Source organism: Homo sapiens, chromosome 4, assembly GCF_000001405.40.
Source record: "Homo sapiens chromosome 4, GRCh38.p14 Primary Assembly".
NCBI lineage: Eukaryota > Metazoa > Chordata > Mammalia > Primates > Hominidae > Homo > Homo sapiens.
The window spans coordinates 46,980,683-47,003,097 of record NC_000004.12 but is presented as its reverse complement, the minus strand read 5'-3'; the positions used below and the strand labels follow the sequence as shown (position 1 = coordinate 47,003,097).

The 22,415-nt window shown below is 37.5% G+C and overlaps 2 protein-coding genes across 5 annotated transcripts in view, besides 2 other annotated features; one reads left to right on the top strand and one right to left on the bottom strand.

Annotated features, from left to right (window-relative positions):
• The window catches only part of GABRB1 (gamma-aminobutyric acid type A receptor subunit beta1), a 432,801-nt gene extending 423,350 nt beyond the window's left edge, over positions 1-9,451 (bottom strand). The window contains exons 1-2 of one of the 2 annotated variants that reach the window (XM_024453977.2): positions 9,138-9,451; positions 8,684-8,721 (exon numbers count right to left, since the gene is read on the bottom strand). The gene's annotated coding sequence lies outside the window, so the exon portion shown is untranslated. The remainder of the gene's footprint in view (positions 1-8,683; positions 8,722-9,137) is intronic. The other variant, XM_024453976.2, reaches the window with a different exon arrangement.
• Positions 9,061-9,130: an enhancer, noted in NCBI's record as "active region_21529". NCBI's record gives its function as "activates an Ori minimal core promoter by ATAC-STARR-seq in GM12878 lymphoblastoid cells {active_cell/tissue: GM12878}" and the evidence as "EXISTENCE:reporter gene assay evidence [ECO:0000049][PMID:35858748]".
• Positions 9,292-9,586: a silencer, noted in NCBI's record as "tiled region #8016; K562 Repressive non-DNase unmatched - State 24:Quies". NCBI's record gives its function as "represses a minimal TATA promoter and a strong SV40 promoter by Sharpr-MPRA in K562 cells {active_cell/tissue: K562}" and the evidence as "EXISTENCE:reporter gene assay evidence [ECO:0000049][PMID:27701403]".
• The window catches only part of GABRA4 (gamma-aminobutyric acid type A receptor subunit alpha4), a 74,682-nt gene continuing 61,783 nt past the window's right edge, over positions 9,517-22,415 (top strand). For 2 of the 3 annotated variants that reach the window (NM_001204267.2, NM_001204266.2), the window contains exons 1-2: positions 9,517-9,691; positions 10,152-10,270. In NM_001204267.2, the coding sequence (NP_001191196.1) occupies positions 9,663-9,691; positions 10,152-10,270 (148 nt within the window). In that variant the 5' untranslated portion in view covers positions 9,517-9,662. Of the gene's footprint in view, positions 9,760-10,151; positions 10,271-22,415 lie in introns of all 3 variants that reach the window. The other variant, NM_000809.4, reaches the window with a different exon arrangement.

Genomic DNA, 22,415 nt, shown 5'->3' with positions numbered 1-22,415 from the left:
AGAACAAAGTTTTTTTTTATTATAAAGCAAATAGGAGTGATTTGGGAGTCTTATGCTATCCATAAATCAAACATTCAACTTTTGCTCACTCTAAACTGTTTCCAATAAATAACTTTTTGTGGTATACTTTTCTATGGCAAAGTCCCAAATCCTTCTCTGATATTTATCTTCATGCATTTTCAATATTAATCAATACCATTGAGGTTCTCCTTCTATTCTTATGACATTCACTCCCTTTAACTCTCTCTTAAAATTATGGTTAATGCCACTCCATGCAGTAGCCACCAGATGGTAATGAAGAGCAGTCTGGCTTCATAGTCTTTTGAGGACCAAATATTTCACCACTGTATCATGTTCAGGATTCACAGATTTGTTTGGAAAGTGAAAGTTTAATTCCAAACACTGTGTTGGTTTGATGGCAGGCTAGTATATATCTATGATACTTTAATCATTTAGTTTGCGTGTGTCTGATTTGTGTTATAGGTTCTGTATTGGGGACTTAAAGATACAGAAAAAAAAACACATACATTTCTGCTATTGTGCTTTACTTTAAAGGTGGTTCTTATTTAAACATTTGAAAGACTAAAATATTTGTGTCTAGAATGATTAGTGAAAATACCTGCATTCTTTAGGTTTAATTTGTGTTTTCTTCTGGTTATAAATATATTTAAAAGAGGAATTCCTTCATATCACCAGTAAAAAAAATGATTAAAATATCCAATGCAAATATATATAATAAAATTGCATAAAATACACAACACATTCTGCATCTTTGTTTCTTTGGCTTATTAACTTGCCAAATATGCTCACTCACTACTTTTTTACCCAAAGCTTGTAAAGTAAATGTTGATATTTTCGCAAAGGCTTAGGCCTATGTTTTTAAAAAGAGTTTTAAAATGTGTTTTACATTGTATGGTATATAATGTTTTCTTTCTAGTATTTTGTTGTCTCCAAAATCTCTATAGTGAGAATGCATTGTTTGACTGAAAAGTCAAAAGAACAAAATTCAAATATAATGATTAATTTAGAATCTAAGTAATAGTTCATGAAAGTTTAACATTTATAATGGTTCACATATCATGAGTTACTGTGTCGTAAAAAACTGCCTATCCTAAGACTAATAAAAACAATAAGTTGTTGTAAGATAAAGTTCAGAGTTCTGTAACAATTTCATATCACTTTTTGGAACAATTTAATGGCATTTGAAAGGTGAGAAAAATTTTAACATTGAATTGACACACAAAATTTTACTAGAACCCAAAACATTTAATAAACATTTAATTTTATATCCCCGTACAACTGTATTAGTTAGGATTTTCTAGAGAAATTGAACCGATAGAGTATAGATTATTCTATCTGTAGAAATTTTAAGGAATTGACTCACACAATTACAGGGGTTGGTAAACCCAAAATCTGCAGGGAAGTCTGGCAGACTGGAGACCCAGGGAATATCTAATGTTGCAGATCAAATCTGAAGTCCATCTGCTGGCAGAATTCCCTCTTCTGGGAGGTCAGTCTTTGCCTATTAAGGCCTTCAACAGATTGGATGAGGCTCGCCCAAATTATGGAGGGTAATCTGTTTTACTCAAAGTCTATTGATTAAAATCTTTATTTCATCCAAGAAATACATTCACAGAAATATTGAAAATAATATCTGGCCGGGCATGGTGGCTCACACCTGTAATTCCAGCACTTTGGGAGGCCAAGGCGGGAGAATCACGAGGTCAGGAGATTCAGACCATCCTGGCTAACACGGTGAAACCACATCTCTACTAAAAATACAAAAAATTAGCTGGGCGTGGTGGGGGGCGCCTGTAGTCCCAGCTACTCGGGAGGCTGAGGCAGGAGAATGGCGTGAACCCGGGAGGCGGAGCTTGCAGTGAGCCCAGATCGCGCCACTGTACTCCAGCCTGGGCGACAGAGCGAGACTCCATCTCAAAAAATAAAAAATAAACATAAAAAACTAAAATTAAATTAAAATAATATCTTACCAAACATCTGGGTACTGTGATCCAGGCAAATTAACACAAAGTTAACCATCACACCATTCTTATAAAATGCTATTCAATTTGTTCTATGAAATATTTCAGGCATATGAAAAATATATATAACAGCTAGTCTTCAAAGATGGCCATCAAATGAATCATATCTCTCAGTATTTACATCTTTGTTATCCCCTCTGCATGAATCTGGTTTGACCCTGTTACCTGCTCTGACCAATAGGATAATGCTCTGTGACTTTCAAGGTTTGGTCATAAGAAGTCTTCAGCTTCAGTCTAACTTGAAATGCTTACTTTGGGAAAACCAGCCGGCATATAAAAAGTCTTACTACCCCAAGATCATCATGTTATGTGGAAATCCAAGCTGGCTAAGTAAGTAAGATGGGGGAGGTGGGGGAAGAGAGATCTCCAGCCAATTCCCCCTGTCTATCTGAAGCACCAGTCATGTGAAGCAATAAGCTATCTTCAATGCCCAGCTCAGTCAAACCTTCAAATTATGCCAGCCCCAGCCACTATCTAACTGCAATGGGATGAAGGACCTCCAGGGAAAACCACCATATGAGCCTAGTCAAACTATGTGCACTGTGAAAGAGTATCATAAATTGTTTTAAGCTAGAAAGTTTTATAGTGCTTTGCTCCACAAAAGAAGATGAATATAAAAAAAGTAACATAGTGAACACCTAAGTCCTGACCACCAGATTTAGCAAAACTTAACATTTTGCAATATTTGCTTGAGGTATTTTTAATGAGATAAAGCTTACATAAACAGTTGAAATAGTCAATGTTTCCCTTATTTCATTCCTCTTTCTGCCACAGATACCCATTATCTTGAATTTGTTATTAATTTTTTCATGCAAATTTGTTCATATGGCTACATACATACCTACAACATGCATAATGGTTTTTTTAAGTTTTAAATTTTATATGAGTATTTGGCTGAAGGTATTATCATTATTGAGAGAAAGTGGTTTGCTCCCTGATGCACTAGAAGCCAATAGTATGTCACTGAGTTTTTGATAAAAGAGAAGTTTTTATTGCAATTTGACTAACAAGGTGACATGAGTCCAGCTCAAATCTGTCTCCCTGTACTGGCTTTAAGGTAGTAATTTTATTAGAAAAAGTTTAGGGGGTGGATTCTGGAATTAGCAGGAGATTGGTGGAAGGAAAGAGGAGGTCTGGAAAGTCCTTGGGCATGCACAGTTATCTCTTCATGCCTCCTCATGGGTCCCATGTGCAAATTTGGGAGGAGTTAGTATGAAACATGCAGTGAATATTCAGGCTGTGATGTCAGCATGTCTGTTCTCTGCAAAGTCTATTTCAACAGTCATATTGGCATTAATCCATTTTAGCTAGTTTTGTTATCTTATAAGCAGAAGGAGTTTTAGCACTGTTTCTTTTTTTATTTGTTATCTTGTAAACTAAACAATTTCTGTCAGTCACTGGTCTCTTCAGCTCTTTGGAGAATGATTTCTTTGTTTTGCCTCTTGCTTCTTTTGTATACATTTACTCCTGATATATTTATATTGAAACATATATCTTATTTCCTTATTTTAATTGTTGTCTAGTTCTCTCTTTACACCACAATGTAATGTATCCACTTCCCTGTTAAATGACATTTAATTTGTTTCTAAGTTTCCACTATTACAAACAACGTAACATATTTTAGATGTCTCCTCATGAACATGTTTGAGAGTTTCTTGGAGCTATAAAATTTAAATTAGATGGTTTGGTCATATGGTATGAATATGTTAAACTTAAATATATTGGCAAACTGCTTTCCAAAGTGGTTCTATTAGTCCCTTATCAGTCTTGAAACAAGACATGACATTATATTCATCATAAAATAGGCACTTGGCAACAAATTTAACAATGTTTAAATGGCCATCAAATGAATCATACCTCCAGTATTTACATCTTTGTGTATCCCCTCTAAATAAACTATATGGGTTAATTTGGGGCACTATCGGTAATGCATAAATTATCCTTGCAAACCATTACTATTAGGTGCTGAAAATAAATGTGTTTCTTAACAATAGTATCATCTTTTTCAGAAACTAAAAATTCGCACATACCATACATATACACTAACATAATTAAAGGAATGTTTCTTGTAGTAATTAGTACAGAGTACTAATTACACACGATCACACACACCATCTCACACACACAATCACTGCTCTTTGGAGTAGCACTTCTAAACTTATTCTGAGAGCTTATTTCAGAATTCAAGTCTGATGAATAAAATAATGCTTCACACATTATTAGGCATTTTCAATTGAGCCTAAAAGTAGTTATTAAATGTATTACTTGGATTGTATCCCCTTAAATTGTATTCTTTCCACTTTTTTTTTTTTTTTTTTTTTTTAGACAGAGTCTTGCTCAGTGGCCCAGGCTGCAGTGCAGTGGCACAATCTCAGCTCACTGCAAGCTCCGCCTCCCGGGTTCACTCCATTCTCCTGCCTCAGCCTCCCGAGTAGCTGGGACTACAGGCTCCTGCCACCACGCCTGGCTAATTTTTTTGTATTTTTAGTAGAGACGGGGTTTCGGCATGTTAGCCAGGGTGGTCTCCATCTCCTGACCTTCGTGATCCACCCACCTCGGCCTCCCAAAGTGCTGGGATTACACACGTGAGCTACCATGCCTGGCTGGCCTCCACCTATTTTAAAACTTCAGACTTTCAAACAAAACAAAAGCTAATATTGAATAACTAATATTTCTGAATGTAATTCAAATTAATGTGAGATCTTGGAGACTATTAAATATTGATACATTGTCTTAATGTCCAACTTGATCTCAGAAAATTATAAAAAAATAATTAATAATCTAAAATACATACTATAATAGGTGACTTTCCAAATTTCATGTGTAAAGTTTATTCAGATAATAGTATTGTCACAATTTTGTTTTTTTCAAATAATTGCACTGAAATATCTAAATCTGCATTAACTATATGGCAAAAAATTCTTATTTTGACAGCAGTATTAACTGGTATTATGAAATGTTTACTCAAATACAATATGTTAAATTCCCCCAGATTAGGAAACCCTTGTACACTGTTGGTGGGAATGTAAGCTGGTACAGCTATTGTGGAAACGATATGGAGGTTCCTCAAAAAACTAAACATAGCACCATCAGATGACCTAGCAATCCCTCTTCTGAACATACACCCAAAGGAAATAAAATCAGCATCTTGTAGAGATATCTGAGCTCTAATGTTTATTGCAGCATTATTCATAATAGTCAAGATATGGATACAACCTATGTGTGTCCATCAGTGGATGAATGAATAAAGAAACTGTTATATGTATATGTGTATATGTGTATGTGTGCATATATATGTGTGTGTATATATATACGTGTGTGCATACATATATATACACACACATCTATATGTACAGCTTTGTAAAAGAAGGGATACTGCCATTTGCAACAACATGGATGAACCTGGAGGACATATAGTAAGTGAAATAGACCAGACACAGATAGCACAGAAAAATAAATATGAAATGATCTCACTTATTTGTGGAATCTATAAATAGTCAAGTACATAGAAACTGAGAGTAGAATGGTAGTTACCAAAGGAGGGATGGTAGGGGGGAATTTAGGAGATACAGCTTGAAGCGTACGAAGTTATAGTTATGTATAAGAAAGTTATTATTATTATATATTATATAATAATATGTTATGTATAATAAGATCTAATGTACAACATGAGGCCACAGTTAATAATATTTCATTGCACACTGAACAGTAATTTGCTAAGAGAGTAGATTTTAGGTACTCGATCCTCACACACAAAAAGGTAACTATGTAAGGTGGTGGATATGTTAATTTGACTGTAAAAGTCATTTTGCTATATATTTATATCAAAACATCTTGTTGTATACCTCAAATACATACAATAAGAAATGAGTGAAGATAAAAAGTCTATAACTAGACAATGATAGTAGGCTGGTATACAGGTAATATTTCAGTGGAAACACTGTTTTAATACAAATGAGAAAAGGCATTAACTAAGAGACTATTAAATCAATTCTTCCCACCTATGCAAAATACGAGGGACAGAGAAATACATTAACATAAAATTGTCAATAGCTTCTAAATTCTTGGAACAGGAGCATTTCAAACTGGGCCTATATCTACAAGCCTTCAGAATTTAAAGCAGTAATTCACATCAGTACCCTCCTCAAATGGTTACAATTGGTTCAATTTTTACCAGAAAGAATTAATGAAAGAAAAGAGGAACAGGTTGAATCCTTTCAGATTATTTAATTTATTACCACTCAAATATTTTGCATACCAAGCTCTTTGGACATATGATAAATTGACAATAGATGGGACCAAGTACCTGCAAGAGACTTACAATCTACATGACAGTCTATAGAAACTGGCAATGGGGAAGCTTATAAAATGGGATAGAGATTTTTATCACACATTAACTACAAATATTCATTCGCCTGTTTGGTCAAATGTTCTAATATTTGAGTTATCTTTTATATTAAAATGTTGGTCCATACTACAGTTGTCCATGGCCTATAAGAACTTGATGAGAGATAAAGTCTCACAGGAAAATGCACATACTTACATAAACACAAGATTTTGTGTTCATTTCCAGGGCATTTCATAGGCACTGTGGGCTTTAAAGTGTCCATCCTAAGACGTTAGCAGTTGGGTTATCTGTATTATTTGCATCTTATTATATCCAAAGTAAACTCATTTGTTAAATTTATAAAATGTGACTGGCTTAATATAATGATATTTGGGGATAGTGTACTTGGGCCCAATTCAAATTCTGCTAAACCTAGTAATCAGAGGCTTATATCAACTTAAAGAAAAAAAGAGGTATAGGTATGATTTTAACACCTTCCTATTTCTGCACAGCTACACAGACAATAATAATAATTCACTGACAATCCTGGGCTATCACAAATAGGAGTTTACATGGGAAACAATAGCATATTTATATTCATAAGTTAAAGTAAATTATAACTTTTCAGAATGTTAGATTTCTAAAAAAAAAAAAAAAACCTCAAGTTAGCAGGCAATATTTTTTTAAAGATTTCAGGCAGTGAAATTCAACATATATCTTCTTGAAGTAATACAAAAGTGGCATAAATAAAAGACTGTGAAATAAAATGAGAAGAGATATAAATGCCTTTAGTATTATCTTCAGCTGAACTTAAATACTATAACCCAATTAACAAAAATATAACTGGAAGTAGCTACTCTGAAAGAATGTTCTTTTAATTTGAATATAATAGTTTCACAGATTTTAAGTTTGAATTTTAAAGATACGATATGTAACTGTTTCCCCAAAGCCATTATTTTGGTTTCTTAATTTTTTGATATGTGTATTTTTAAAATGAAAATTGCAAGGGAAAGTGGTTTAGAAAATACAAATTTAGGTTTTAGAAAGTATAGGAAAAGGCTTACAAATGTAAGGCGGTGGCTTACATCTGTCATACCAGCACTTTGGGAGACAGAGGCAGGAGGATCACTTGAGACCAGGAGTTTGAGGGTAGCCTGGTGACATCGCAGAGCCCCCACATCTCTACAAAAATATAAAAATATATTAACAGAGCATGGTGACACATACCTGTACTTCCAACTACTTAGAAGGCTGAGGTAGAAGGATTGCTTGAGCCCAAAAGGTAGAGGCTGCAGTCACTATGATGGTACCACTGCTCTCCAGCCTGGGCAACAGAGCTAAATTCTCTTTTTAAAAAGGTAGGAAAGTATTAAGATTAGAGAAATAATATAATATGTGGAGAATCTGTGGTGACTAATGCTTTCATGGCATATTTGGAGGATACACTAGTTCTTCCGCTATTTTTCCCAAACGAGAGAGCTTGATAGTCATCCACATTTATAAGATGGATCTGAGAACAAGCAATTCATTGCTTTGTTTAATTGTTCATTCAATAAATATTTATTGACATTCTATGTGCCATGCACTGTAACAGCAGATAAAATAAACACAGATGAGCAAAAATTACCTAGCCCAGGCCCTCAGAGAGACCACAGTCTATGAGAAAAGAATGATAGAGATGGGATTAGGATGAAGTTAACAAATTCCATGAAGAAAGCAGTACAGAATACAGAGCACGGAGCTCTAGCTACTGCCCACGATGAGCACTTTGGGCTTTCCCTTAGAAAGAAAACTTGAATCCAGACGTTTAAAACACACAAAAAAACCAAAACCCCTGTCTAATACAATGCGTTCCCTCTTCATACCCGTCCACTAGTCATCTCAATTTGAACAAATCATCAGAGTTCCGACTAGAACCTAATTGGTGTTTGGTTCCAAGGTATGGGAATTACTTAGCTCATTGATCCATCATATGAAAATTTCCACATGCATCATTACTAATTTGAAAGACGCTTTTCCCCCTTGGAGCCAATAATTAATGTTTCCAAAGATCTATTGGGAATGCTTATCTTTGCTCAGTAAAACAGTAAAGATATGGAGCTTAGTGTTCCCTTTCATGTCACAAGGGAACTAATATTTGTCCCCCTCCATTTTAATTTATGTATCCTTTCTCTCCATACCCCACCTTCTGCCTCTCTCTCTCTCTCTCTCTCTGTCTCTCTCTGTCTCTCTCTCTCTCTCTCTCACACACACACACACACACACATTTTCTCTTTCCCCCCCCACTCTCTCTCCAGCCGTCCTTTCCCCCTACCTAAAGCAGTCAACCTCTGGAAGTAAGTCAACTCCATTCTGAAAAAGAAGAGTGTCGCAAGAAGTGAAAGTGATTTTGACCAGAGGTCGCTTGTCTCCACCTCTCCCCTCCTCTCCAGAAAAGGATGGAGCAGCAAAGCGGAGGGTGTGCGCGTGTCTGGTGGAGGCGGGTAAAGAAATGGGGTGTCTTTAAAGCAATAGCTTAGCAAATACTGGGACTAGAGTGCGGCTCGAGTCCACTTCCCAATAGTTTGGCGAGAGTCCGCCGGGTGAGCTGCAACCCCTGTTACCAGGAAGAATCTTTCTGCTTTCATTGCTCTCCCTACCGCCCCCCATAACACCTGAATGGGAGGGTCTCAAAGGTGGTTTGAGCCCGGACTTGATCCCCTCTCCTCACCACCGCTACCACCCGACGCCCAGCAGTCCCCGTCACCCGCCCTTTCTCCACCTCCAACCTTGACTCTGGGTACAAACAGGTCCTCGCACAACCTGATGACAGAGGAGCTTCATTGGTTAGATCCAAATCCCAGCGGAAGGGAGGGGGCCAGGAGGTAGGAGGACGAACACTGCTGTGGGCGGGGAGCCCACTTGGGGTCGGGGGCTGCGAAGCCGGAGGAGGGGCGAGAGACCCCGTTCCTCATCCCCGGAGTTACAGTCGGAACAAACTTGCCGAGTCTTGCAGCGCAAGCGCGCGGATACGAACCCCAGAACCTTCAGCGCGCGGGCACGAAAGGGTGTGGAGCGGTATACATAGCTCTACATACACATTGAGCGCTGAGCGAGAAAGGAGGGGGCGAGGAAGGCAGGTTCCGCCTCCCCTGGCCCCGTGCACACACACGCCCACCGCGGCTCGGGCTGGCTGAGCGCGGGCGAGTGTGAGCGCGAGTGTGCGCACGCCGCGGGAGCCTCTCTGCCCTCTCCTCGCACCCTGCTCAGGGCATCTGAAGAGCCTGGAAACGTGAACAGGCTTGAAGTATGGCATGTTGCAAAGATGGTTTCTGCCAAGAAGGTACCCGCGATCGCTCTGTCCGCCGGGGTCAGTTTCGCCCTCCTGCGCTTCCTGTGCCTGGCGGTTTGGTGAGTTCTCTGGGGTGCGAGGAGGTGGGCAACGGAAAGTGGAGAAATGGCTAGCTCCGGGACCCCTTTGGCCACTCGCTCCTCCCTGGGTGGACTAGGTCTTCTTATCTCAGCTGTAAGAGCAGGGGCCGAAGCCAGGCTTTTCTGTGACCGCATAGATGCGGAGAGCACCAAGGGCGCAGGATCCAAGAGGCGTGTGGGCACTGGGGGTCTTGCGGCGGGGCGCGCTTTTCCTGACCATTTCTGTCTTCTGCATCCCAACCCCCAACCTCCTCTCCTTTAGCTTGGGGCAAGCGACTCTTTCCCTAGAAAACAAACCTGTTTGCACCTGTTCTCTGATGGATTCTTAAAATAATCTCCTCCGCCCCCGGTTTTTTTTTTTTCGCTTGCAGTTTAAACGAATCCCCAGGACAGAACCAAAAGGAGGAGAAATTGTGCACAGAAAATTTCACCCGCATCCTGGACAGTTTGCTCGATGGTTATGACAACAGGCTGCGTCCTGGATTTGGGGGTATGAACGATTTCAAACGCGCAAGTGTGTCCTGTCTGTCCCTCTCTTGGTCTTCCTGTCTGTCTGTCTGTGGGAATATCATTAGGTATGCCTCACGTGCAAAAATAAATCTCTCTCTCTTTCTATCTCTCCTCTCTTGGTGAGACCTATGACAAGAAGACCGCCTCCACCCGTACTTTCCCATCTCCCTGCCCCCTCAGAAGCTTTGCCTCTCCCCCACACTAATTACCTCCCGGGACCTGACTGCTGGGTGGGGGAGGTTGGAGAGGAAGAGTCAAAAATGGGAACTCTGGGCTCAGCTGCCTGGACGCTCTTCGCTGAGAATAGTTTCCCTGAACCTGGCCACTTCGCTCAGAGCAGGTTGCATTGGAGGCAGCTGAACCGAAGTCCCTCATCCTCCCACGTGTCCATGCCTATGCCAAAACCTTGGCCAATGTTCTACCTGGGACATAAATCTGGGGCATGAAGCTGCCTGCTCTGCTAGAGAACCCAGTCCTTTCCTTTTCTCTTCTACAGCAGGATGCTTTTCTTTTTTCCCTTTCTTTTTTGGTGATGTGTCATTTGCTTTCCTCCTAAGACTTTAAAGTTAGAGATGTTCCAGCTTGCTTTCTTCAACAAAATAAGTATAAAGGACTTAATAGAGGTACATCCATTAACAGCACTGTTGCTGTTTTTCATATTCATATTTCCTTTGCATATATAATGGAAATCTATGTGGCAAGCTTTGCGCTAGGTACTAGGTCCACAGAAATATTAAGATACAATTCTTAACCTCAAACAGCTTCTCAGTCCAGTTCAACGAGGACAAATGACTTGCTAGGGTCCCATTCATAGGTTTGGCCCAGGTCCTTTGATCTCAAAGTCCCTGTTTTTTACAGTACACTGCACTAATTACCCTTCAGCAACTGAGTTGAACAGGATAGAGATTCTGCCTTAAAGGAGCTTACATTCAAGTGGTAACAATAATAACAGCCAGTAATATTGTATTTATTTAATTAAATGTTCACATATACCAGGCATTTTGTAGGCATCACCACTCTGTTTAACCCTCACAACAAAGCTTTGAAAGCCATTACCATCCCCACTTTACAGATAAGGAAATTGAGTCCAAGTTCCAAGTTAGTAAGTAGGAGGAGAAGGATGTAAACCCAGAGCAGGCTGTGTATTTAAAAGACAAAGCCGTGCAGATGGGGATGGTATCAGATGCTGTGTGATGAGTATCATCTAATATTAGAAGCATGGAGCAACTTTATACCTCCTATTGAGGGTGTGTAGGAGATGACATGTTGGGAGAATGGAGAAAGTAAGAATGGGGAGCAGGACTGCCTGTGATGTGAAGTAGGAGTATGGCCTGGGGCTAGAAACTCTTTCTAGCCTTCACTTGAAATGTCAAGTTTAAAACCTTTATGGGCAGATAAAGTAGAGTTGGGTGTTTCTTTGGCATCTGGTCTCATTTAACAGATGGGGACACTGAGGTTTAGAAAGGGAAAGTGATGTATATAAGGGCACATAGTACATCAATGATAGGATGAGATCAGGTCTTCTGAATTCCAAACCATTATTTTCTTGGATTTTATGAGAAGGTTATGGGAAGTCATTGAGGGTATTGATTCAGCATTTGTATATTTCTTTTTTTTTCTTTGAGATGGAGTCTCGCTCTGTCACTCAGGCTGGAGTGCAATGGCGTGATCTCGGCTCACTGCAACCCCTGGCTCCCAGGTTCAAGTGATTCTCCTGCCTCAGCCCCCAGAGTAGCTGGGATTACAGGTGCAAGCCACCACACCTGGCTAATTTTTTTAAATATATTTTTTGGTAGAGATGGGGTTTCACCATGTTGGCCAGGCTGGTCTCGAACTCCTGACCTCAAGTGATCCACCCTTCTTGGCCTCCCAAAGTGCTGGGATTATAGGCGTGAGCCGCGCCGGGCCAGCATTTGTATATTGACTGATAAGGATAGATGAGAAGGATGAAACTTTCTCCTGCTTCTTTTCATGTTGCCTCTCCAGGGATAGGTTGCCTACACTGCATTTGCCTTCATGCAAATCTGAAAAGGGGTGAATCATTTGTCAATGCATGATCTTCCATTTTAGATCAAAAATAGTGTTGTGGAGAATCGTTCAGATGATGTGATACCATTTAAGGCAATATTATATCAATAAAAGAGGATTTATCTGCCCATAAATGTTTTAAACTTGACATTTCAAGTGAAGAAAAAAAATAAGAAAAGTATCCAGTCCTATGTAGTTTAAATATTCATCAGAAAATTGATATACCAAAACATAAATCAAAGTGAAAAGTTAGAACTGAAACTATATTGTTTGATTATAAATGTTGAAAGTTAAAATAAGATGTGCCCAGCTGGCTATAATGCAAGCTGTAATTCAAAAGGAAGAAGGGATCCATTGTATATGGATCCTTTTTACCATCTACTCTCTCCCATTGCATAATATTGACAATAACATAAGTGAAAACAATATATGTGAGCCATTACTGGGTTTTGGTTAATCGTAATTCTATTAAACGTCTCAAGGACATTATTAGTCATCTAATTTGTCACTGCCAAATGATCTGCATTACCCACCTGAAAACATTTTTATAGTTTTATGGGAAAGGGTCGAATTAACATTACTCCCAGCATTACCAATTGATTAACCATTTAAACATTTACTAAATAGCATAATATGGGTTTTGTTTGTTTGTTTGTTTGTTTCTTGGCTTTGCTGATAAATGTTTGTGGTAAATGTGATTCACTTTTTAGAAGTGGGTCATTCTCTGTAAATGTGTAGTATTCCAAATGTGACAGAGAAATAGTGATTCTCACCTGCAGAAAATGTGTTTTCTGTTTATATGAAGTTGTAAATGTGTACCACTGAAAACAATGAGAAACTTCATCATTAGCACAGACTCTTAGATACCACAAATCAGATGCCTTCTATAGTATTGGATACTCTGTGGAAAGTTTGGTATTTTAAAAATAAAATGAAAACAATCCAGATTTTGACTAGTAGGCTATAAATATGGATTTACTTCCTGGTTCCTATAATCCTGCTTCTGCTCTTCGTGGGGCATTTACTTTATATCTGTTTATACAACTTTGCTGTGTTCCATTTCAAACAAAGCTAAAAGCAAAGATTTGAATTGAAATTGGATGGTTTGTGATTGCTCAGTAGGCCAGGCAGGGGTTGAAATAGATTTGGAAACTAAATTACATATTTTTAACTCAGCAGCACAGCTTGCGATAGGGAAATAAAAGGAACTGAAATGGTTTCCTTTTTTTACATCCCTCCAGGATCTCCTCTCCCTTGTCTCCTACATTCTCCCATTGGAGAAGAAAAGGGGAAAAGGCGAGAAGAGAGGGAAGGAGTCATGGTGACAGAAGCTGGTTTCCGACTTCTGAGAGGATGTAGTCCTCTCAACCTCTAATAAATCAGTTGCTATCATCCTGAAGTAGCTTGCACCTGTCTAGACATAGCACACAAGTGAAGCCTTCCACAAAGGAGCCAGAAAATAATCCCCTAGCTCTCGTTCACTTTCAACACTGTAACACTGTTACATAATTTCTCAAAAATGCATTGCTAAGGTATTTACTAACTACCAGGAAATGGTTTAGGAAACCTGCCGTCACTCATTTTCCGTTTATTGAAGGGTTGCACAGCCTTTCACGCATCTCAATCTTTTGAGGCATATGATCTAGAATAATAAACGTTCCAAATACAGATCACTGCCTTTGAATCATCTTCCACAACCTCTCTGAAATGGGAATGAAGCATTTGAGTCAATTTTGTAAGGTTATTCACTAACATAGTAGGACTTCACATTAGTGGACTTCGCATTATTTACTAAGATTATTACGACAACACAAAGAGATAAGGCAGACATCATCATTCTGTTAGAAAAGAGGCTGAGAAAATTTCCAATGAATTGACCATCAATTTTATAGCTACTCCTTGGTGAAGTCACAACACACACCCTCATCTTTAAAACCTTAGTCAGGCAGCTGGTTTATTGCTATATCCACTTCCGAGGCACTCTTTCATTGCCCTGTTTATCAAGAGTCAAATTTCCTCAACATACCTTCTTGCTACTAAGTTAAGTAGGACCTTAAAATAAGCAAAACTACATTTCCTCTAAAGAAGTGAGATAAGAACTTTTGTTCTAAAGCTTTAACAACTTTCAAATAGTAAAGAAAACACAGAAAATTGTATGCATTTGGGTTAAGTTGGAATATTTTCCCCACAAAAATCAAATTGTGTTTGCAGTGTTTTCAAATGATCTATGTTTCTCCACTTAAAAGTTAATGTGTCATGTGCTAGCCTTATTAATTAAATGTCAATAGAGAAATACCTTTAAAAATACATAGACAAAAAGAGCACTTCTCAGCAACATAAAGCTTCATTCTCTTCCAATTTGTCCCATTCTTTCATTCATTCATTTGTGAAACCTATCTGTATTGAGAGACCACTGTATGTCAGGAAAAATGTAAGGTTGTGAAGATATCATTCTGATCTGATACGAGCCCTCACAGACTTTATAGCTAAGCATTATAGAGAGATGAATATAACAAAGAAATAATAAAATAATTACATGAAAATGCTATGAGATAATCTAATATCATGCTAAAAGGGAAAAAAAATGGGTGAGGGATCTATTTCAGATTTGGTGTTCCTGGAAGTCTTTTAAGCTAAGACTTAAAGGTGTCAGACATGAAAAGAGTAAGAGAAAAGTAATTCTCAGAGAGAACAAAGCAATTAAGTGCAAAGGTCTGAAGGTAGATAATAGGTTAGTGTGATGTAGATGGTGAGAGGAGTCCAGTGTGCCTGTAGCCAGAATGCAAGAAGAAGAATCTCATGGGATTTGGTTGGGATATTAAATAGAGGCCAGGTCTCATAGGGTCTCTGGGGACCCTGTAAAAGAGCATAACTTATTCTCTTAGTGAACCTGGAAGCAATTGGAGTTTTCTAAATGGAGGGAATGACATGGTTTGAGTTAGAGTGAAAAATGCTCCATCTTGTCTGCATAAAGGAAGACTTAGAAAAGGAAGTAGGGCAATTTGGAAGCAGGGAGACCAATGAAGCTTTTGTTACTTCAGCTTTAGTTCTCTTAAGTTGATGGTTGCTTGGAATAAGGTGGCAGATATAGTAAAGATGGATATATGTAAGTTGATTAAAGTGAGTTTTTGGAGGTTTAATTCAACAAAGAATTGGCGATTGACTTGATATGGATGTTAAAAAAAAAGAGAGAGAAGTAAAAAATGACTTTTCAATTTCTATTTTGAGAAATTGGGCAAGGTTGGTGTTATTTAAAGCTGGGGAGGACTGCACGATTTCCTGCCCTCATAAGTTCACACTGTGGAAGAGATAGAAAATAAGTAACAGAAATAAGTAAAATATAGTGTGTGTGCCAGATGTTGGTTAACAGCTATAGAGTAATGTAAAGCAGGGGAGAGGGTTGCAATTTTAAGTAGAATAATTAGTGGAGACTTCACTAAGAAGGTGCTGTTTGAATACTGGTCGTAATTCAGTAAAAGCATAAACCACATTTGGGATGGAGTCTTCTAATGAATGAGAAGGAATTCTAAGTGCAAACATGTAAAGTGGGGAAGTCAGGGTCCCTGTAGTGAAGTTTAGCAGGGCTGAGGCATAAAAGGGGATCAGTGTGGTAAGAGGACAAGGTTGTGTACAGCTTTGCAGGCTGATTAGGACTGTGCTTTTACTCTGAGTCAGATCAAAAGTGACTGGAAAGATTTTAGCAGGGACAAGTCCTGAACTAATTTTAAAAGGCTCTCCTTGTGTTCAGAACAGGCAGTCAGAGGCAAGGGCAGATGCAGCAAGGTTTTCCATAATAAACCAGGCAAGAAATGATGGATACTTTGACCAAGCTGGTAGCAGAGAAGTTTGTAAATTTATAAGAAATGGTTGGCTTCTGGATATTTTGAAATTAAAGTCAACTGACGACAGCTAGAACGTGGGATGTGAGAGAAAGGGAGGTGTCAAAGCTGATTCCAAAGTTTTTGATTTGAACACCTAGAAAAATGGAGTTGTCAAGACTGTGCCAGAAGTAGACCAGGGGCATAGATGAGCAATTTGTATGCAGGTATGGTACCTTTGGGATGTCTATTGCATATCAGGTGGAGATGAACCTGAAATTCAGGGATCATGAGTATGTCAATATACATGATATTTAAAGCTAGAAATCTAAAAAGATTACAGGGGATTAAGTTTGATAGGGAAGAGGTACAAATATTGAGTTTTGATGTCTCCAATGTTAGGAGGTGGCTCCAGAGAGGAGAGGAGGAATCTTTGTCCCAAGAAGACTTAAAAGGAGTGGTTTGTGAAGTAGCAGGAAAACCAAGGGAGTGTGTATAAAACTAAAGTAAAATATAAGGGGAAAAATAAAGAAAGAAAAAATAAAGAAAGGAGGAGGGGTTGATTTAGTCAAATGCTCCTGACAGATGAAGTAAGATAAGAACTTAAAATTGACCACTGTTTTGACTGTTTTGATGGAGCAGTTTTGGTGGTGTGATGGGTGTGAAAGTCTGATTGAGTGCATTCGAGAGAGAATGGAATAAGATTTTTCTGGGCATTTGTACATGGAAGCAGAGAAATTGCGATGGTAGAAGGAAGGAGGTAGAAAAATGCTAGGAAAAAAATACTTTTAAAGTTGGTGGGAACAATGCTGTATATAAGGAAAAACTCATGGTACTGACAAAAGGAAGTGGACCCTAGGCATGAAAAACAAGTTATTGAGATAGATGATGGAGTGAATAAGAAGAATCAGAGGTACCGTTGATAGATTTTTTTCAGAAGTTCAAATATAATATAGAAGAGAAAGAGAAAAGTTTGCCTTTCTTTTTTCAAGATTAGACCATAACATGTTTTTCTTTCTTTCTTTCTTTTTTCTTCTACTGGGATAATCTAGTACAGGATATTTAACATTAGATTGGTGGGAAGGCATAGCTGAAAGAAATACGTCTTTTAGAAAACAAGAGAAGTTTGAATTCAGAGTGCAACTTTACTATCTTATGTTCTTGGTTTAAAAAAAAAGATATACAATATACTGGTGCTATAATATATTTACATTTTCATTAGGGTTAGGATGTATCCATTGCATTTGGTGTTTCCTGAAATAGACATTGTAAAATCTAGATTATGGGATATTAGAAAATTGGTGGATATTTGGGTAATACTTCACTGAGTTGTTAGATTTCTTTTAGATGAGAAAATACATCTGATTGCATTTGTATATATCATTAAACATCACCGCCTTATACTCTAAGCCTTTCTTATATATTTATTCTATAAGCCACAGTTACACAGAATTGAAACCTGAATTAATAATTCCTGGTATATGACACATTTTCATTATTGGCCCATATGTAGCCTTCTTTTTATACGTCTTTTCATCTATTCAATCATTTATTAAAATATAATAAACATACCAGTTAAACCACCAACCAGCACAAAGTGTAGGACTTGGACAACTCTTATTCTGCTATGTGGTCTCCTCCATCCTATCTTCCTGTCTTCTCCGTCCAAAATAACCATGATTTTAAGTCCTTTTAAAATTATTTCTTAGTTTTCCTTTGAATGTCATTTTAGGTTGACTGTCTTTATTTTAAAAGTTTATTTTAAATATTTAATTGTTTTGAACTTGCTATATATAATCTTTCGATGCTTTTAACTTAATTATATATTGCTAAAAATCATTCTTATTGTTGCATATTGCAATAGATCATTCATTTTGACTGCTGTGTGATATTCCCATTGCATAGAAACCAGCTTATTCATCTGCTCTGTTGGCAGTAGGCTTTTTGCTTGTTTCCAAGATTGTGGTGCTGTGAATATCCTGGCCCAAATTTCCTGCTGTAAATGTGCAAGAGTTTCTTTTGCATATATATCAAGAAATGGATTTTCTGGATCTTAGTGTAAGTGGGAGTTGACAAGATAATGCCAAACTATTTTTCATGATGAGTTTACAAAATCAACTTCCATTTACAGTTTACAATGAACATGACATTCAGGATCCAGATACCCTCTTTAACACAAGATATATATATCTTGAAATGGTATTTCTTAAAATGGCATTTTATTGTGAAATGATTTGAATTTTTCTGATTCTCACTATGTTTTAACGTGGTTGAATATCTTTTCCAATCTTTATTGGCTACGATAATTTTCTTTCCGTGAATTACTTGTTTTTATTGTTTGCCCATATTTTATTTTTATTTTTGTTGTTGTTCATGCTTTTCTTATTTATTTGATGGCTGTAATTATTTACAAAGTAGACCAGGATTGATGGATTATATGACATGGGAGGCACTAATCTTTAATGACTTCTAAATGAAAGAAACTTCCAGAACTTTATAGTGTTTTCTGCTTTCTCAGTGATATCAATGGGTATCTCTTGTCTGTGTTTAGTATTCAGGAAGGCTTGTATTTGTATATTTTGTAAATGACAAGCAAAGAGATTTATTAATGTATTTCAGTTAGGATTCCTTGTTGTATCCCTTCAAGTGTCTTCATTTTTGGAGATATGTAACTAGTATTTTGTAAGATGATGGTGGATGCATGGATAAGGTGGCTGGAAAATTAGAAATGTTTCCTCAAGTGCATGGCTGGGGAGGCAATATGGAAAATGAGGATGGACTAGTTTCAAGATCAGCAAAACACCCTAGGTTTTCTCATGATGTGGCAGCAAATTAGACATCATTATTGGAGATGAAATTTCAAAAATGATTCCACCCTTTAACCATATCTGTACTGCTAAAGTTAAGTAAACTGGGAAATTATCTGATTCATCGTTAATTGCCTTCCCTCTTTCCCAGCAAGTTAGACTCATTAATTAGATGGGAATATTTCCCTGAATTTGATCTTGCTGGTCTTGGCTCTTTCTTTCCCAAAAACTGTTGAATCATCTTGTTTACCTTACAGACTGTCAACCATTAGGTATTAAAAAATATATTCCTACTACCAACAAAGTAGAATTTTAAAATAAAAGATGTCTTTAATGTTGCACAAATGCATATCAAATTATGGGAAGAAATCCTTCCAAGCTCAAAATTATCTGGTTTCCATGTAATTATACTCTGAGTAAGTTTGATTTGAACATCCTAAACTGTCGTATTAGAGGAAGTGTCTCTAAGAATTATTCTTAATTACATAGTGACCATTATTCATTGACAACTGATTTATCAGAAGCCTATTACATTTAAAACCTGTGATTGGTCCTGCCAGAGGATACAAATACAAATAAGACAGTTTCTTAAAATGGGGAATATTTTTAGTTTAACTGCTGTGGAAAGTAATTCTGTTAATTTTTCCTTTTGATGGGTTTTTAAATCACTACTGGGATGATATTAGGAACATGATGAAACACAGTTATTCAACGCCTAATATGTGCAAGGCATTGTGCTAGTTTGGGACTTCAAAAAGGATTAAGATTTTGCCTTTGCTGTTACAGATAGAAAGACCCAAGCAGTATGCTGTAATAAGAATAATAGTAAAGGCATGAAAAGCGCTTTGAGAAAATACTTCAGAAACTAATGAACAAAGCAGGGAATGTAGGTATAGCATGTTATATTCTAGATATGAAATTCCACATTTGCTTAAGTAATTAATAATTTATTATTGGTGATATAATGTAGTATAGTAAAGCTAGCACATGCTTTGGAGATCAATACAAGGGGGTTAGAATTCTGGCTCTGTCATACATTATTTAATCTCTGTGAACTCAGTTTCCAGATCCATAACATTCTCATGAGGATAGCGCCTTTGGAGGGTGTCGTGAGGATTACATGAAATAGTATATGGGAAGAACCTAATAGCCTACCTGGCACATAATTCATCTTCAATAAATAGTAATTATTGTATCTTCGCTTATTGTTCTTTGGAAAATACCGACACCCTGTGAGCATACCAGCCCCTCAATCTGTCCAGTCTTCATCCCCACTGCCACATCCCTAGTCCAAGCTGTTATCACCAACTCTCGACTTGAACAACATGGCAGTCTCTTAGAAGAGCCCTTCTTCTACTTTTGCTTCCCTGTAATGTATTGTCAATACCATTGTCAGAATAATTTTGTAAAAAATATAATCTAATCATATAAACTCCCTTACTTCAAACCCTCAGTGGCCTCCCAATGACTATGGGATACAAATCAAACTTCTTACCACGACCTATAAGTAAAGACAGAGAAAGACTGAATATCAGAAGAAGAAAGCTCCAGGAAAGAACATAGGAAAAACGATAAATTTTGGGTTCTCTAAGGCTGCTATAAACAAAGTACCACAGACTGTGTGGCTTAAACAATAGGAAATTAATTTTTCACAGTTCTGGGGATACCAAAGTGTAGGCAAAATTGGTTTCTTCTAAGTCCTCTCTCCTTGGCTTATAGATGGCCATCTTCTCTCCATGTTCACATTGTCTCTGCTATGTGTGTGTGTGTGTGTCTGTGTCCTAATCTACACTTCTGATATGGTCACAGTGATATTAGATTAGGGCCCGCCCTAGTGAACTCATTTTAACTTAAGTATCTCTTTAAAAATTCTATCTCCAAATATGGTCACATTCTGAAGTACCAAGAATTAGGACTTCATCATAGGAATTTGGAGGGAATACAGTTTAGCTCATAACAATACTCTATGTAGCTCTCCATCTTTTACTGATATATCTACAACTTATTTTCCTTGTAGTTTTAACTACAGTCACCATAGCATATATTATAAGTATGTTGCTTAAAAGATGCCACTTTTTAGAATACGAGTTCAGGGGTAGGTGTTCTATCCACTGTACTCTGGTTTTTATTCTATCATTGTGGCTTTTATTTCTCAGCATTCTGTCCCTCCCTTGCTTTGCTTCAGCCCCACTGGCCTCCTTTCTAGTCCCTGAATACACTCAGCCCTTTTCCGGTCTTTGATCTTGTCCTCTTGGAGTTCTTTCTGCCTGGAATCCAATTTCCTGATCTCTTGCAATGGCTCATGCTCATTCTCCAAGTTTGAGTTTAAAAGTCACTGCTTTGAAGAAGCAGCTATGACTGCAAATCAGGAATGACCCTCCCAGTCTCTCACTCTTACCATCCTGTATTTTTCCTCTTAGAAATGATAGCATTCTGTCATTTAGTTTATCTTTTTACTACTGTATTTATACTCTGACTGCCCTAATGGCACCTTAGCTCTTTGAGTCAGGGAATTCCTGAGTCTTGTTTACCAATGTAGCATCAGAGCCTAGCAGGGAACCCAACACACAACTGGCACTCATTCAGTAAACACTAATTGAATGAATGTCTGAAGGAAATCCCTTTACAATCAAATGTTTTTTAGGATCTTACTCAGTCTCAAAGATCCATAGGACCATATAAGGCAAATACTGAATAATGAATGTCACAAATGCTAAGGTTATAATTTTGAACACAAAACATTATTCAAGAATCATTGAGAAAGTAGCATGTTATGCAAGAATTGGAAAATGTTCATTATTATCATGGAATCATTGTAACTATAGAACTATAAGAATTAGCATACGCCCACACACTTTAAAATAAATGTATAAAGAAAAATATCATTGGCCTAATTCTTTTCTCTTCTAGACTCCTCACTCCCCTGAAATACGTATGATATTAATATTTTATAGCACATGGTGTTGTAAATACTATCCTAGAAAACAGATGAACACTGTAAAATAGAGTAAAGTGAACAGCCTCAGCTAGGAACTTGTTAGAAATGCAAATTGTGAGGCCGCACCTTATGCCTAGTACTAAATCAGCGTATCAGGGTGTGGAGTTCAACAATCTGTTTTAACAGACATATCAGAACCACTTCCCTAAACCAATCATCAAAGTAACTTTTGATTTCTCAAGAATCTTGCCAAATAGTCTAGTTGTCAGGACATAACCAACCTTAATTATTCGAGTAACTTATCACCACTTGCCCTGACTTGCAATGGCATAGTGTTTCTGCTTTTTAATACTCTGGCAATTGTCCTTAAGAAACTAACACAGTGATTTGTTTCACTGTTGAACCTACTTGAGTGAAATTGCTATCTTCTAGGGTTCAGCACACATTACCTGCTTCCTGGATTACCTAGCTATTCCTGGAACAATTTGACATTAATGAGCTTATTACTATCATGTTTTGCTGTTGTTGTCTCCA